This window comes from Homo sapiens, chromosome 1 (assembly GCF_000001405.40).
Source record: "Homo sapiens chromosome 1, GRCh38.p14 Primary Assembly".
Lineage (NCBI taxonomy): Eukaryota > Metazoa > Chordata > Mammalia > Primates > Hominidae > Homo > Homo sapiens.
The window spans coordinates 93,633,147-93,648,711 of record NC_000001.11 but is presented as its reverse complement, the minus strand read 5'-3'; the positions used below and the strand labels follow the sequence as shown (position 1 = coordinate 93,648,711).

General features: G+C 43.3%; 1 protein-coding gene across 29 annotated transcripts in view, besides 6 other annotated features; it reads left to right on the top strand.

Annotated features, from left to right (window-relative positions):
- The window catches only part of BCAR3 (BCAR3 adaptor protein, NSP family member), a 286,411-nt gene that overhangs the window by 199,440 nt on the left and 71,406 nt on the right, over positions 1–15,565 (top strand). For 27 of the 29 annotated variants that reach the window (NR_178024.1, NR_178023.1, NM_001261408.2 and 24 more), the window contains one exon: positions 6,369–6,408. The exons of 1 other annotated variant lie outside the window; for it this stretch is intronic. Coding sequence is in view for 22 of the 28 variants with exons in the window: in NM_001261408.2 (NP_001248337.1) it covers positions 6,369–6,408 (40 nt within the window). In the remaining 6 variants the exon portion in view is untranslated. Of the gene's footprint in view, positions 1–2,112; positions 2,236–6,368; positions 6,409–15,565 lie in introns of all 29 variants that reach the window. One more of the 29 variants, NM_001412060.1, reaches the window with a different exon arrangement.
- Positions 3,940–4,661: an enhancer, noted in NCBI's record as "NANOG-H3K27ac-H3K4me1 hESC enhancer chr1:94109607-94110328 (GRCh37/hg19 assembly coordinates)". NCBI's record gives its function as "activates a minimal SCP1, AML or CMV promoter by ChIP-STARR-seq in primed H9 embryonic stem cells {active_cell/tissue: H9 hESC(primed)}" and the evidence as "EXISTENCE:reporter gene assay evidence [ECO:0000049][PMID:30033119]".
- Positions 6,146–6,195: an enhancer, noted in NCBI's record as "active region_1333". NCBI's record gives its function as "activates an Ori minimal core promoter by ATAC-STARR-seq in GM12878 lymphoblastoid cells {active_cell/tissue: GM12878}" and the evidence as "EXISTENCE:reporter gene assay evidence [ECO:0000049][PMID:35858748]".
- Positions 8,661–9,296: an enhancer, noted in NCBI's record as "H3K27ac-H3K4me1 hESC enhancer chr1:94104972-94105607 (GRCh37/hg19 assembly coordinates)". NCBI's record gives its function as "activates a minimal SCP1, AML or CMV promoter by ChIP-STARR-seq in primed H9 embryonic stem cells {active_cell/tissue: H9 hESC(primed)}" and the evidence as "EXISTENCE:reporter gene assay evidence [ECO:0000049][PMID:30033119]".
- Positions 9,425–9,719: a silencer, noted in NCBI's record as "tiled region #755; HepG2 Repressive non-DNase unmatched - State 16:ElonW". NCBI's record gives its function as "represses a minimal TATA promoter and a strong SV40 promoter by Sharpr-MPRA in HepG2 cells {active_cell/tissue: HepG2}" and the evidence as "EXISTENCE:reporter gene assay evidence [ECO:0000049][PMID:27701403]".
- Positions 11,303–11,861: an enhancer, noted in NCBI's record as "H3K27ac hESC enhancer chr1:94102407-94102965 (GRCh37/hg19 assembly coordinates)". NCBI's record gives its function as "activates a minimal SCP1, AML or CMV promoter by ChIP-STARR-seq in primed H9 embryonic stem cells {active_cell/tissue: H9 hESC(primed)}" and the evidence as "EXISTENCE:reporter gene assay evidence [ECO:0000049][PMID:30033119]".
- Positions 11,862–12,420: an enhancer, noted in NCBI's record as "OCT4-NANOG-H3K27ac-H3K4me1 hESC enhancer chr1:94101848-94102406 (GRCh37/hg19 assembly coordinates)". NCBI's record gives its function as "activates a minimal SCP1, AML or CMV promoter by ChIP-STARR-seq in primed H9 embryonic stem cells {active_cell/tissue: H9 hESC(primed)}" and the evidence as "EXISTENCE:reporter gene assay evidence [ECO:0000049][PMID:30033119]".

The window sequence follows — 15,565 nt, the reverse complement described above, 5'->3', positions numbered from 1 at the left end:
AAATAGCTGGTCCTCAGTTTTGCTGTCAGGACACTGGAGTACTGTTATGAATTAGGAAGGTTTAATCACAAGTAGGAGGAAATATAAGCAAGCACTGACTGATGATAGTTAATGTTAGAGATTTTAGGAGAGAAGCTGGGAAGACAAACCTCAAACCTCTTTAGCCAGTTAACGAAAAATTCTCTATTTTATTCTTTCTTTTTCTTAATTATCCTAATGTCATTCATTTAAGACCTTAATTTTTAACGAGTCTCCTTTTGGGTCTCTATTTCAGTCAAACCTCGTTGAAGACCATCCCTTTTCATTTTTAATGTGTAATTTCCATTTACCAAGAGTAGCTTTTGGTACTTTTACCATTTACCAAGATCAAACCATTTACCTCTACACATAGCACCTCTCTCCTCCATCCCATTATGCCTCTCACTAAAGCAGAACTACAACCCTCACCTCATAAGCCCTGCTTTTATTGCAGACATTTCAAGGGAATGGCTTTGGATGGCTTTAATAAAATTTTCCCTAATTTGAGTCATTCATCCAATGCTATGTCGTGTTTGATTGACCCATGTTACTTTCCTCATGTAGAGATAGTCCACTGGCACCCAGATATTTCAGAATTTTAAGTGAAAAAGAAAAGATGGACCCAGGCGCGGTGGCTCACATCTGTAATCCCAGCACTTTGGGAGGCCGAGGTGGGCGGATCAGTTGAGGTCAGGAGTTCAAGACCAGCCTGGCCAACATGGTGAAATCCCCATCTCTACTAAAAATACAAAAATTAGCCAGGTGTGGTGGTGCATGCCTGCGATCCCAGCTACTCAGGAGGCTAAGTCAGGAGAATCGCTTGAACCCGGGAGGCAGAGGTTGCAGTGAGCCAAGATCACACCATTGCACTCTAGCCTGGGCGACAAGAGCAAGACTCGAAAAAAAAAAACATATTTCAAGAAAACAATACATAGGAACTTTATCGTACAGCTGGTCTCAGATGCCATTGTTTGGGGCTACCTTATACGTGAGAGCGCTTCAAATCTCCTTTGGTACTTTAGTTACTAAGTCATAACCAAGAGCAGCAAAGTGAGGGTCTCTTTGGAAGCAGAGTGTCCTTCTATTTAGAAGAAGTGTTTTCTCTAGAATATCACTGTCCCGTAGAACTTTTTGCAGTGTTGGAAATATTCTATAATTGGGTCATGCTAGCTGCTAGCCACTAGTGTAACTGAGGAGCTGATTTGTAAATTTTATTTGGCTTTAATTTAAATAAAGCTTGTTTAAACATCTTAAATTTTATACTTCTGTTAACCTGTATGTTTTTATGTTCTGGTCTCAGGAACTCTTTTTTACCCCTAGAACATTTTACCTTTTCTGGTGAAAAGGATTTGGGTTCCCAGCAAGGAGGTGCATCTCTAAGACAGCAAATTTGATTAGGCTTCTTAAACAGTCCTATGATTCTGTGGGAGGGGCATTCATGTTTAGAGCAAAAATTCACCACACAAGAATCATTCTTATAAAATTACTTTCCTTTTTACCTTCTTTACCAAAAATACCTCTTTAAATCTTTAACTTTCTTTTCATCTCTTATTTCCTGATTCCTTTACCTTGTTTTAGACATAACTCTATGAGGTTTGAGTTAGACAAAGATATTTTACCTTTAATAAGAACATTAAAAAGAAAATGTTTTCCTGTAATTCTTAAATCAGAAATTACCCAGATACTTAATATCAAATAATAACCTTAGATTCTAAATTATGACAAGTTTGTTTGTAAGCATTTATTCCATTACATTTATCTGATTAATGTAATAGTTTACCTAGACTATTAACAAAAACTGTGATAGCTAATATTTAAAGTTATTTTCCTTTTAACTATTTTTATAGCTGTGAATTTCAGGTATTTACTTAAGTAATAAAACTTATGCTTAATTTTAAGGTTATTTATTCCAATAACTCAGCATTTAGTTATTTTCATTAAGCCAACAATATTTCATAGGTATACACAAGCAAAGATTATTCTGTCTTGGGCTGGGTTTTATAGTTGATAACCCTCATGGCAAATGTTATAGTATTCTGCAGGGATAAACATTGCTAGTATTTTACCAATAATTTTTTTTTTTTTTTTTTTGAGACGGAGTTTTGCTCTTGTTGCCCAGGCTGGAGTGCAGTGGCGCCATCTCAGCTCGCCGCAACCTCTGCCTCCCAGATTCAAGTGATTCTCCTGCCTCACCCTCCCAAGTAGCTGGGATTACAGGCACGTGCCACCATGCCAGGCTAATTTTGTATTTTTAGTAGAGACAGGGTTTCTCCATGTTGGTCAGGCTGGTCTTGAACTCCCGACCTCAGGTGATCCACATGCCCCGGCCTCCCAAAGTGCTGGGATTACAGGCGTGAGTCACCGTGACCAGCCTACCAATAATTTTAAAGCCACCTTATTTATTAAAGATTTTACTTAAGTCATGGGTATCTGGGTAATTTCCAATTTAAGAATTACAGGAAAACATTTTATTTTTAATGTTCTCATTAAAGGTAAAATATCTTTGTCTAATTCAAACTTTATAGGGTTATGTCTAAAAGCATTTGACTAGTCTTTTAAGTATCTGATTAAGTGCTTTTATATATTTTTTAAGCCAATTAATTAGAGCTCTTTATATATTTTTAGTAGTGAAACACTGTTTACACAATGTATAAATACATAGAGGTATTTAGGCATGCTGATAGAAATACATTTTATAGATTCATAAAGACTTCCTTTTTCCTTTTTTCTAGTTAAAAATTCTTAATAACATGTTGCATCACTCTAGGCAGTTCTCAGCTAAATAGTCCTAAATTTTCATATGAAAGGAAAGAACTTAGGTGAAGATCCGATAGCAAAATTTACATTATAAGCTACAGGGAGAAAAAGTTTGGTGTGCTAGAGGGAAATTAAAATAAATTTAGCTGCCAATTAAACATAAATATTATAAAATTATATATTTATATATCATGTATATATAATGTATAATATATGCATATCATAAAATGCATATATAGTCTATAATGGCCTTTTAAATATACATGGATACATATATATACACACACACACACACACAAAGATCCTGTAGCTTTACTTTAGTACTTTAGCCATGAAATAAGTATAAATTCACTGGCTTGCAAGAAAAAAAAAACTGTTAGATCCAAACAGTGGTTTTTATCTCAGTGGAAAAGTAACAGCAGATTTAAAGTAGGCAGAAAGGAAGACAGAAAAAGAGAATTTAGGAACTCTATAGTTTGCAGGTCGACCCTAGGGTTCTTTTTCCTTAATGTAAATGTGCACAAAGACCATATTACTTCTATTTTACATAAACTCTGGGAAGTAGAGGTGCCATAAAACCTACAGAGTACTCAAAAGGGGATCATTCTCCTTATTTTCTCCTTATTTTTAGAGTATTTCTTTCTCACATTTTTTTTTTTCCCCCTTGAAAGGAGGAACTGAGCTCTGGCCTAGGATTTTTGTGTGGTGGATGGATATGTGTCCTGGATGAGCCATTTTAAAAATTAATTTGCACTGAGGATTTCCCTGCAGGGTTGCTGCACATTGTGGGGGGCCAACCCCCTAGACACTCCCACGAGGCCCCCAGTCACCCATGGGCGCTTTTTGGCTGGGAGGAGCAAATGCCCTTTCTCTTCAGAGCTGAAAAAACTCAGTCTCTCATTTACCTATGAAAACAACAGTTCAGTTTCTCACGCAAATATGCACAGTCAAGCCAAATTGAGATTAATTCTGAGAGAAAAAGCAATAGAGGAGACCCTTTAGAATGCACCTTCGAACTGGAATTAGGATTCTTAAACAACAACTTCCTAGGAGAAAAATCAGCTCAAGAATAAATTAAGGACCATCAACCAAAACAGGAGGTCCAGAGCTCAGGAGGACTTACCAGTTCCACCAGAGGAGAAGCTCAAACTGGGTGAGGCTTCAATGGGCCCTGGCTGGTACCTTAGCTCCAGTTTTGGGCAACTCCTTCAGGGTCCTGAGTCTTCTCTGAGGCCCCACATGTTTGGGCATCAAATTATTGTCAATGAAAAGAGTCAAACTCTGTAAAATATTTGAAGAGATTTATTCTGAGCCAAATATGAGTGACCGTGGCCTGTGACACAGCCCTCAGGAGGTCTTGAAAGAATGTGCCCCTGGTGGTTGGGGCGCAGCTTGGTTTTATACATTTTAGGGAGGCATGAGCCATCCGTCAATCAAATACTTTTAAGAAATACATTGATTTGGTCCAGAAAGGTGGGACAACTCAAAGCAGGGGCTTCCAGGCTGTAGGTGAATTTAAACATTTTCTGGTTGACAATTGGTTGAGTTTGTCTAAAGACTGGGGATTGATAGAAAGGAAATGTTCAGGTTAAGATAAAAGATTGTGGAGACCAAGGTTCCTTTGAAGTCTTATAGTGGCTGTCCTTAGAGACAACAGATGACAAATGTTTCCTGTTCCAGTCTTTAAAAGGTGCTAGACTTTTAGTTAATTTCTTTAGGATTGGGAGGGCCTGGAAGAAAAAGATTTAGCTATGTTACTAGAGATTCTTTACAGATGCAAATTTTCCCCCACAAAGGACAGTTTTGCAGGGCCATTCCAAAATATGGCAAAGAAACATGTTTTGGGGTAAAATATTTTGACTTTCTTGTCACATGTTATGCCAGAGTCAGATTGGAAAGTAAGTCACGATATATAGGGTTAAATAAAACCCATCTGATGAGAATTTATGGTTTGTAGGGCATGACTCTCCAGACCCCTTAGATAGGAATTTGGACAAGATTAAAAAATCTGAGCTTAGTCCTCAGTATGTATCCAAGATATACAACATGATGCTATGGAATACATGCAATATTTAAAAGGTTACTAAAGTTGAAGCAAATTAACATATTCATCATCTCACATAGTTATCCACTTTTTTGTTTTTGTGGCAAGATCAGTTGAAATCTACTCAGCATGAATCCCATATACAGTACAATTGTATTACCTATAGTCCTCATGTTGTCCATTAGAGCTCTATGCTTGTTCATCCTACGTATCTGCTGCTTTTTATCCTTTGACCTACATCTCCCCATTTCCTCTGCCTTCTGCCCCCATCCCCATAACTACTGTTTTATTCTCTCTCTGTATTTTTAAAAAAATTTCTTTTTTTTTTTTTTTTTTTTTTTTTTTTTGAGAAAGAGTCTTGTTCTGTCACCCAGACTGGAGTGCGATGGCGTGATCTTGGCTCATTGCAACCTCCGCCTCCTGGGTTCAAGCAATTCTCCTGCCTCAGCCTCCCAAGTAGCTGGGACTACAAGCACTCACCACTACGCCCAGCTATTTTTTGTTTTTGGTTTTTTTTGTGTTTTTAGTATAGTAGAGACGGGGTTTCACCATGTTGGTCATGCTTGTCTCCAACTCCTGACCTCAAATGATCCGCCTGCCTCGGCCCCCCCAAAATGCTGGGATTGCAAGCATGAGCCACCACGCCTGGCCTCTTTTTTTTTTTTGAGATGGAGTTTCACTCTTGTTGCCCAGGCTGGAGTGCAATGGTGTGATCTTGGCTCGCCGCAACCTCTGCCTCCTGGGTTCAAGCGATTCTCCTGCCTCACCGTCCCTAGTAGCTGGGATTACAGACATGCGCCACCACACCCAGCTAATTTTGTATTTTTAGTAGAGACGGGGTTTCTCCATGCTGGTCGGGCTGGTCTCGAACTCCCCACCTGCCTTGATCCTCCCGCCTTGGCCTCCCAAAGTGCTGGGATTACAGGCATGAGCCACCACACCTGGCCCATATGGGGGAATAAAAACACTGGGCACACAGAACAGTAGGATGAATTGCTGAGATTTTCACCAGGAGTGGGTGGGTAACAGCCAGCGATGAGAAGAGAAGGCTCCGTTCCCTCCATCACCCAGGCACTGGGCAACCTGGGGCAGCCCCTCCACCCACCTAAGCCTCTCTCTTCTTACTGTCAATGTGGGCACAACACAGTTACTGGTGGGGACGTTCTGGGGATTAACCCAGACACCACCAGTGACCGAAAGTGCCACACGTTCCCGTACCCAGTCCTGCCTGTCTCCCACCTCTGCCCTCCCCTGAGCTCTATGCTTCAGACTTTCACTTTCTATGCTCAAGTAAATCTAGAATTACCACATGTAAATACTCTAACATTCTGGGGCCTGAATTTGACAGGAAAGCATGTGGGAGCTTCTAGACTGAGGTCATGGTGGTATCTCCCACCCCACCACACACACCCTGTTGTGAATACTGCCTGGGAGATGGGGCCCAGCTTAGTAACTTAGTGAATAGGGTGAAATAATGTTGGACACATTATACTCAATGTAAGAATGCATCGTTCCCAACCATTCTCATATTTATATTTTCTCTTTTCAGGGATCCACATCTTCTGGACCCAACTGTGGAATATGTGAAGGTAGGAAATGAGAATTAAACATGTAGCCGTGACCCTGGGTAGTAGATTTCCCATTTGGAACACAGAGTTGCTAAATAATGCTGCAGCCTGGTTTGTGTAAAAAGCTGATTAGACTCTCCAAAACAACAGGGAGGAAATTTGACTCCCTTAGGCCTTTGGTAAATTTTGTAGGGGTCTCACGTCATCCTATTACAGGTACCCTTATCTGGCCTTAGAGCCAGGTGTGTTTTAAAATTCAGAGTTTGTTTGTTTGTTTTCCAGAAAGGTAATATGGTACGTATAGTAATACTCCCAGAGAGGTTTGGGGTCAGCACTCCATAATCACACTCATTATTTTCACAGTGACAAGTAAGAATATTCACACTAAGAGGGATAAATAGATGACAAATGATTTTGTGTAGTTCAGGTCACATTTTGCCACCAAATGAGTTTGCTGCCAAGTAAGGTTTTTTTAATGTTAGTGTTCAGAGTTTTTTGGATTTTGGAATGTAGATGAGGAATTGTGGACCCATATTTACCTTCAGTGGAGGACCGAAGGCTCCCTGAGATTTTATGAGTCATCTTTTCCATTCCAACAGCCACCCTCTTGTTCAGGGCTAATCTGGGGCCAAGTAGTAATATTAGGTACTTAGTTACTTTCCAGCCGGACTGGCGGTCAATGCTTCTAAGTATTCAACCCTTCTAAATAATGTATTTCTTCGGAGCAGGAAGAAAAGATGCTTTTCACTTCTTCCCTCTGCCTCCGCATTTTCCAGTGTTGCTGTTTGCTTTATTTTCTTTTATTTTTGAAACTGTATTCTGTCACCTCCTACAGAAGAAAGAAGTCTGATTCTCACATTTGGTTTCTTGGATTTATGACAACATACTTATTTTTTGGGAGAAATCGTAGCAAGAGTTAGAGTTTAGAATCAGGAGTCTCATTCCACCTTCGCTATCCCAAAGGCAGCAGCATCCTAGTTTCAGAGTATGTAGGCATGTCGCTTTTGTGTGTACCCATGCCTTCCCCCAGAGTTCTGCCATTTCCTCCCTCTTTAAAAGACCAGAGGATGGACGGAAGAGGAGGAAGCTCCAGTAGAACCACTTGGCCACTTGGGGCGGTCGTAGTGAGGTTTGTTGGAATGGAGGTGGATATTCTTTTTTCCCATCTCTTATACCTGAATGACAACTGAGCTGTGTTTTCATGGGAGAAAATGTATAATCCTAAACCTGCAGGGCTACCACACCAGAATCTGGCCAGAGCTTTATAAATATGTATCTGTGTCCCTCCCGGATGCATCACATGTTTTGTGCAGGTTGTGCATTGCAAAGTATTAGAGGATGCTATTTGCATAGACTGTGATATGACTTAACAAAAAATGCACTCTAGAATTCTGCAGTGTGTAACAACAGCTCTTTAAAAATCACTCCATGCCTTGTTTCAGAAATTGGCTATCTCCTACCACGGGCCAGTCTGGCTGTGCTCAGCAAGTGTACTGCCTTCTTCTTACTCCAATACCAGTTTTTTCTTTTACAAAAGTCTAAACCCTTTTAAGATAATTTGGTAGTGCATTCTCAAGCTAAATATAGAGGATTTTGGAATGGCCTGTTTAGGTATTATGCAAGCTATTGCATCTCATTTATGAATATCAATCATTGTGAGTTGAGTGGTATTGACAAAGAAGAGATATTGGAGTTGTCAGTGGCTTCTGTTTATCTGGGCTCTCTTTGCCTTCTCCTGACAGTGAGATGTGATGGAACTGCTCTTTGAGGTTCAGAGGGTTCTCCTTTTCAAGAACTTGTTGAGGTATTCCGAAGGGTACCCTTTCCTCCTAACTTGATCTGAATCTAGTCAGAGCCTTATAAATCATGTGTCTGTATCCTTCCTGAATGCACCACTTTTTTTTTTCTTTCTCACTTCACCCTTGGTTTAGAGGGATGGTTTGGGAATGTGTTGAGCCAATGTAGGGTATGTATTTTCATTTGCCTCTATGGACACTAAGGCTCTGAAAGCACATTCATAGAGGTCTCTGACGTAAAGGTCCAAGGGGACCCAGGGACCCATCTTCTTGGGTTGGGTCTGTTGTAGCACTTCTCACACTTAGTTGCCCTGTGGAGCCGGGCTGACCAGTGCCAGGAAGGCCTCATAAGTTGATGCCAGCTGGTGCCTCATGGCTGGAGATAAATCAAGGGAGGTGAGAGAGTTGCAGCTAAACTGAGGTGCAGTTTGACCCCCTTAACTTCTTATCTACAATCCGCTTGTGCACTTAATGCCTCTTGAGCTTGGAGAAAAGTAGTTCTATGTGAATTATGTTGTGTCATAAAGGCCCCTTCCAGTAGGTTCAGATTCATTGGCCGAAAAAAACAAGCATCAAGAAGCCAAATTTTAGGATCCATTTTGACTCCAGAATAGGGGGAGTCTTATCCTATCCTGAGTCTCATCCAGGCAGGGGAAGCACCCAGTTGTGGCCAACAGACAGCAGTCCAAATACTGGCAGGAGCTCCAGCCCCAGGTCTCCCTCCCTCCCTGTGTCTTTAAATGCTGCTCCCCTGCTGGGTGCGGTGGCTCACACCTGTAATCCCAGCACTTTGGGAGGCCGAGGTGGGCAGATCACCCGAGGTCAGGAGTTCGAGACCAGCCTGGCCAACATGGTGAAACCCTGTCTCTACTAAAAATACAAAAATTAGCCGGGTGTGGTGGCGGGCATCTGTAATCCTAGCTACTCGGGAGGCTGAGGCAGGAGAATTGCTTGAACCTGGGAGGCGGAGGTTGCAGTGAGCTGAAGTCGCACGATTGCACTGCAGCCTGGGTGACAAGAGTGAGACTCCATCTCAAAAAAAAAAAAAAAAAATGCTGCTCCCCTCCCCATCGGAGACTTTCCAACCATCTTCCCTTGGTTTTTTCAGTGCCCAGATAGAAGAGAGAGGTCTGGGACTGCCTCCTGCCTCCTTGGGTCTGGGAGAGACAAGGTTCTGAGGCTGACCCTCATAGCTCGTGGGGCGAGGGGACTGCAGTGTCATGGCAGGAGAGAGCTGGGTGGAGGAAGAATCCAACATTCAGCTCTGGCAGTTTGTATGTGTGTCCTCCTAGCACCGTGCACCGTTTGTGTTGCAGTACATTCATGCCAGGTGAAAGGGGACCGGTTTCTCGGTTGCTTAGCTACCGGTCGTTCATCCCAAGTGGAATGGAGGAAAATATGCATGGCTGGGAAGCCCCAGGGCTGTTGGGCAGCTCTTTTACCTTGTCCAGCAGGCTGGCCTCCTGCTGGGACTCCTGACAGCACCAAGACCCCAAAGGCTCAATTTGATATTTGGATGTGAGAGGAAAATAAATTGCAGATCCAAAGTAGTCCAGGGATTTGGGGAATCTCATTCCTCACTGTTTCCGTCTCTTTAATTCTGGCACTTACAGGAGAGAATTTTGTTTTTTTTCACATTTTTCCTAACCTTCTCTCCTCACAATTTTTTCCCCCCACAGTAGCTCAGAACATGATCATCTTGATAGTTTGGTTTTAACTTTTGTCTAATCATGAGGTCCTTTTCTGTGGTCAAACGTAATTGATTCTGTTTCCCTGCATTGAAAGGAAAGATTTCTTCCAGGTTGGAAAGCTGAACCCTCCAGAGTGGCTCCACCTTCCTCCTGCTGTTTACCATGTAGCTAGTGACTTCGGTTCCTGGCGTACAGCTCTGGAATTTTCCTCTGCGTACCTAGCATACCTTACCCTAGATAAAACCAAACATTTTTTTTTAATAGGAGGAAATATCTTTTAGAGCCAATAACCCTAGGCAAAATTATGAAGTAGAATTTTATCTCTATACTGCTCAACCTACTCACTGCCCCATTGCACTTGCCCAGATTTTTACTTCGTTAAAACACAATTACACTGTGTCCAGTTTCTTAGATCACTATCAAGTAGTTGCTTAGAAAATTTGATAAAATAGTAGTGCTAAAATGTTAATAAATGATAACAGCTCCATGTGTTCCCCTTCCCAGATAGCTGTCCAACAGAGATTCACATCCCCTGAGACCCCCCACCCCAGGGAGGGAGCTGGGTCCACACTCTGGTTCTTTTTGTTTTGAGACAGAGTCTTGCTCTGTTGCCCAGGCTGGAGTACAGTGGCGCAATCTTGGCTCACTGCAACCTCCGCCTCTCAGGTTCAAGCGATTATCCTGCCTCAGCCTCCCGAGTAGCTGGAACTACAGGCGTCTGCCACCACAGCTGGCTAATTTTTTGTATTTTTAGTAGAGATGGGGTTTCACCGTATTAGCCAGGATGGTCTCGATCTCCTGACCTTGTGATCCACTCACCTCGGCCTCCCAAAGTGCTGGGATTACAGGCGTGAGCCACCGCGCCCCAGCCCACACTTTTGTTCTAATTAGCAATGTGACCCTGGATTTGCCACCTGCTCTCTGTGGGTTCCATTGTCCCCACGATAGAAACCTTGGAGTGGGCTATTGTTCCTTCTAGCTTACGTTTATAGGATTCTCCATGCCTAGAATAGGCTGGAGAGGAAAATCTTGTAGCCAGTGGTAAGGAGTTCTTAATTGTGCGATATCCCTGTTGATCCTAAGATTGCCGTATTGATTGGAACAGGATACCATTTCATGTTGTATCTTGGATATGAAGACCAAGGTCATGATGGATCATAACTGCCACCACCATGTTCCCAGAAGAGTGGAAGTTACCCCAGCACTCCTGCATTGCTCTGTGATCCATTATGGTTCACTTCTGTAACCCCCTTTCAACCTATGAAGCCTAGGCTCACTTCCACTCTTTATCACTCTCTTCCTTTTATTTTCCCCTGGAACTGCATCTTTAAGCTTCAGAAGTTGCCCCCACAACCAGCACTAAATATAAATGTATATTATCTCCTCTGGGTGCGATGGCTCATGTCTGTAATCCCAGCACTTTGGGAGCCCGAGGTGGGTGGATCGCCTGAGGTCAGGAGTTCGAGACCAGCCTGACCAACATGGTGAAGCCCCGACTCTACTAAAAATACAAAAATTAGCTGGGCATGGTGGCAGGCACCTCAGGAGGCTGGAGCAGGAGAATCGCTTGAACCTGGGGGGCGGAGGTTGCAGTGAGCCGAGATTGGGCCATTGCACTCCAGCCTGGGCAACAGAGCAAGACTCGTCTCAAAAAAAAAAAAATTTTACATTTTCTCCTTCCCCTTTATACCTATATTCCTTTTAGCCTCAAGACTAGTGCTGCTTTGTTTGTTTTGTTTTTTGAGACAGGGGCTTACTCTGTTGCCCAGGCTGGAGTGCAGTAGCAGGATCATAGCTCACTGAAGCTTTGAACTCCTCGGCTCAAGCAATCCTCCCACCTCAGCCCCCTCAGGTAACTGGGACCACAGATGACCACCACCATGCCTAATTTTTTTTTATTTTTTGTAGAAACAGGGTCTCACTATGTTGCCCAGGCTTGCCTCGAACTCTTGGCCTCAAGTGATACTCCTGCCTCAGCCTCCCGAAGTGCTGGGATCACAGATATGAGCCACCATGCTGGGCCAAGACTAATTCTTTTTGGCCTCTTCACACACCAGCCCTACAGTTATTTTAGTAAAGAGTTCTTTTCTAGGGGTGGTTTAAGCTGTAGTTTTTTAAGGGAGGAAGTGATTGGCTAGGGCAGGGCTGGGTGATTTTTCTTTTAGAAGAAGTGTTTATTATACATTTTCCATTTTAAAATAAATTGTCCTCAAAAAAGTTACATTAGAAAATATGGTGAAGTAGAAAAAAATATTGGAATGCCTGTTTTTTTTGTTTTTTTTTTTCAAATTAGCCATGAATAGGCAAGTGTTTTTTTGTGGCCAGGCTGTAAACAGCACGCTTGCCCGCCTGTGGACAAAGGCCTGCTCTCCAGGCTACCGCAGTGAGGAAGTGTCAGGACGGAATGCAACCTTTTGTTCCTGGCTAGATTCCTAGTGAACGCATGTCCTCTTTCTTTTGTAGTCAGCCTTGGTGGGTTCTTGTTAGACCCACTGTGAGCTGTAATAGAATGACCTACAGTCTCTGAGCTTGTTGCGCAGGTTAGGAGAAGAAAGGACAAGGCTGCAGCTGTTATCCTGAGTGGGGACAGAGCCCTGCAGCTTCTCCCTTCACAGTGCAGATGACCCCAGAGAAACTCAGGAAGCTGTCCTTTCTGGGGTCAATGCTCTGAAAATTCTCCTTCCCCAAGGGTCTTCTAGGTCTATAGACGTTACAGGCCATCCAAGGCTCAGATCTCAGCAAGGCCATTTCCTGCAGCCGGCTGGGGATATATTAGGTCACCCAGCATATTTAAAAAGGAGTAATTATGCAAATTCCAATGCCAAGAATAAGTGCCCTGGCTGCCGGAGACCTCAGTGGAGAAGGGGTGATGTGACTTCAGCTCCCTTTTTGTGCTCAAGATGGCTGCAGCCATGGTCACAATTAAATAGCTGTCTTTGAGAGAAGCCTTTTCTTCCAGCAGGAAAGCAGGCCAGTCTGCTCTGAATTAGCCAGCTCACAAAGCCATGAAAGGGACTTACAAAAACAATGGCACGCTGTACATTCCATGAGATTTTAACAAGTTATATGAACCAAATAATGGGCCGATTGGCTGGCTCTGCAGGTTTTTGCCTGAGTGTGCACATTGGCAGAGCCAGCGCCATCCCCTGTGGGACCAGAGATCAAACACCGCCAGCAGTGAATGTAAAACAGCCCTGGCCCGCTCTGGGGCCCACATGCAGAGGGACGAAAGGGAGCTCCCATCCAACTTCTTCCACTCCACCCCAAAAACATTCTCTGCAAATATTCTTGGGAGGTTCGGTGTTACTACAGTTATTAAAAATGCTGAGGTAGGATGTTCCCACATCCTAGGTATGGATGACAGTCTCCCTCATTCAGTGGAATCTTATCCTTCAGGTCTATGAAAATGTGGCCATTTATAAAGAGTAAAACCTTATGAAAACACATGTCCGTATAAAAGTCTATATGCATGTTTATAGTGACATTATTCGTAATTGACAAAAACAAAAACTGGAGACAACCCCAAAGTCCTTCAACTGGAAAAAAGTAGTACACCCATATAATGGCATATTATTTAACCTTAAAGAGGAATGGACTTTTATTTACTTATTTTTTTAAGAAACAGGGTCTCATTCTGTTGCCCAGGCTGGAGTTCAGTGGTGCAATCATAGCTCACTGTAACCTCAAACTTCTGGTCTCGGGTGATCCTCCCACCTCACTGAGTAGCTAGGACTCCAGGCACTCACTACCACACCCAGCTAACTTGTTTATTTTTTGTAGAGATGGGGTCTCCCTGTGTGCTTGGGCTGGTCTCGAACTCTGGCCTTCCTCCTGCCTTGGCCTCCCAAAGTGCTGGGATTACATGTGTGAGCCACTGCTTCCAGCCTAGGAGTGGACTGTTGATATACGCAGAAACACACATTGTGTTAGTCTGTTTTCGTGCTGCTGATAAAGACATACCCGAGACTGGGCAATTTACAAAAGAAAAAGGTTTATTGAACTTACAGTTCCATATGGCTGGGGAGGCCTCACAATCATGGTGGAAGGTGAAAGGCACATCTCACATGGCAGCAGACAAGAGAAGAGAGCTTGTGCAGGGAAACTCCGTTTTTTTTTTGTTGTTGTTGTTGTTGTTGTTGTTTTGAGACAGAGTCTCACTGTGTTGCCCTGGCTGGAGTGCAGTGGCATGATCTTGACTCATTGCAACCTCCACTTCCTCGGTTCAAGCAATTCTCCTCCCTCAGCTTCCCAAGTAGCTGGGATTATAGGCCTGGGCCACCATGCCCAGCTAATTTTTTTTGTATTTTTAGTAGAGGTGGGGTTTTGCCACGTTGGCCAGCCTGGTCTCGCACTCCTGACCTCAAATGATCCACCCACCTCGACCTCCCAAAGTGCTGGGATTATAGGCATGAGCCACTGCGCCCAGCCAAAACTCCCCATTTTAAACATCAGATCTCATGAGACTTATTCACTATCATGAGAACAGCATGGGAAAGACCTGCCCCCATGATTCAATTACCTCCCACCAGGTCCCTCCCACAACACATGGGAATTCAAGATGAGATTTGGGTGGGGACACAGCCAAACCATATCATGGGTGAATCTTGAATACATTACGTTGAGTGAAAGTAGACAGTCTCAAAGGCTACGTACTCTAAAATTACATTTGTATGATATTCTGGAAAAGGCAAAACTTATAGTGACAGAAAACAAATAAATGGTTGAAAAGAGGTTGGAGAAGAGATGAAGTACACCAAGGAGCTTCCAGGGATGATAGAAATAGAAATATCGTGATTGTAGTGGTAGTTACCCAACTGGGGTTGGCTGTCAGTGCTCATGGAATTGTACTGAAAAGGGTGACTTTTGCTGAATGCAAATTATACCCAATAAGCCTGACCTTAAAAAGCAAGCTAGGCTGGGTGTGGTGGCTCACGCCCTTTGGGAGGCCGAGGCAGGCGGATCACAAGGTCAGGAGTTCGAGACCAGCTTGGCCAACATGGTGAAGCCCCTGACTACTAACTAAAAAAATACAAAAATTACCCGGGCATGGTGGCATGCGCCTGTAATCCCAGCTACTCGGGAGGCGGAGGCAGGAGAATTGCTTGAACCTGAGAGGTGGAGGTTGCAGTGAGCAAAGATTGCGCCACTGCACTCCAGACTGGGCGATAGAGCCAGAGTGTATCAAAACAGACAAAAAAAGGCAAGTTAAAGCCTTGTATTTCAGTCCTTAAGTGCTGCCACCTCAGTAGGAGAAATTTTCCATTTTGAGATGGGCCACACCAGGGAGGCCAGACCCTTGATGAGATGGAAAAAGTGCCGAGCTTGAAGATTTTTGACTGCAGTGGCTCATTCAACAGATATTTTTTAGTATATACCATGTGTTTGTAATTGTTCAGTCAGGTCAGACCAGGTGGGAAGAAAGTGTTACCAGGAGCCTAACCTGAGATAGTCGCAGTGGGAATGGAAAGTTAGGCCACATGGTGAAGGGCTTTTAGAGATAGAATTAAGACCCAGTTATTAGGGAAGCTGAGAGATTCTAACAGGATGTAAATGGTGCAGGTGAGGGAGAGAAGCTAGGGGCAGTTCCTGGGACCACACCAGTACCTAGCATTGTGCCAGAAGCCAGTAAATAGGGAGGAAAGGAGATGTCCATTTGGAAACCTTGTTACCACAGTGACGTTAATCTTCGAG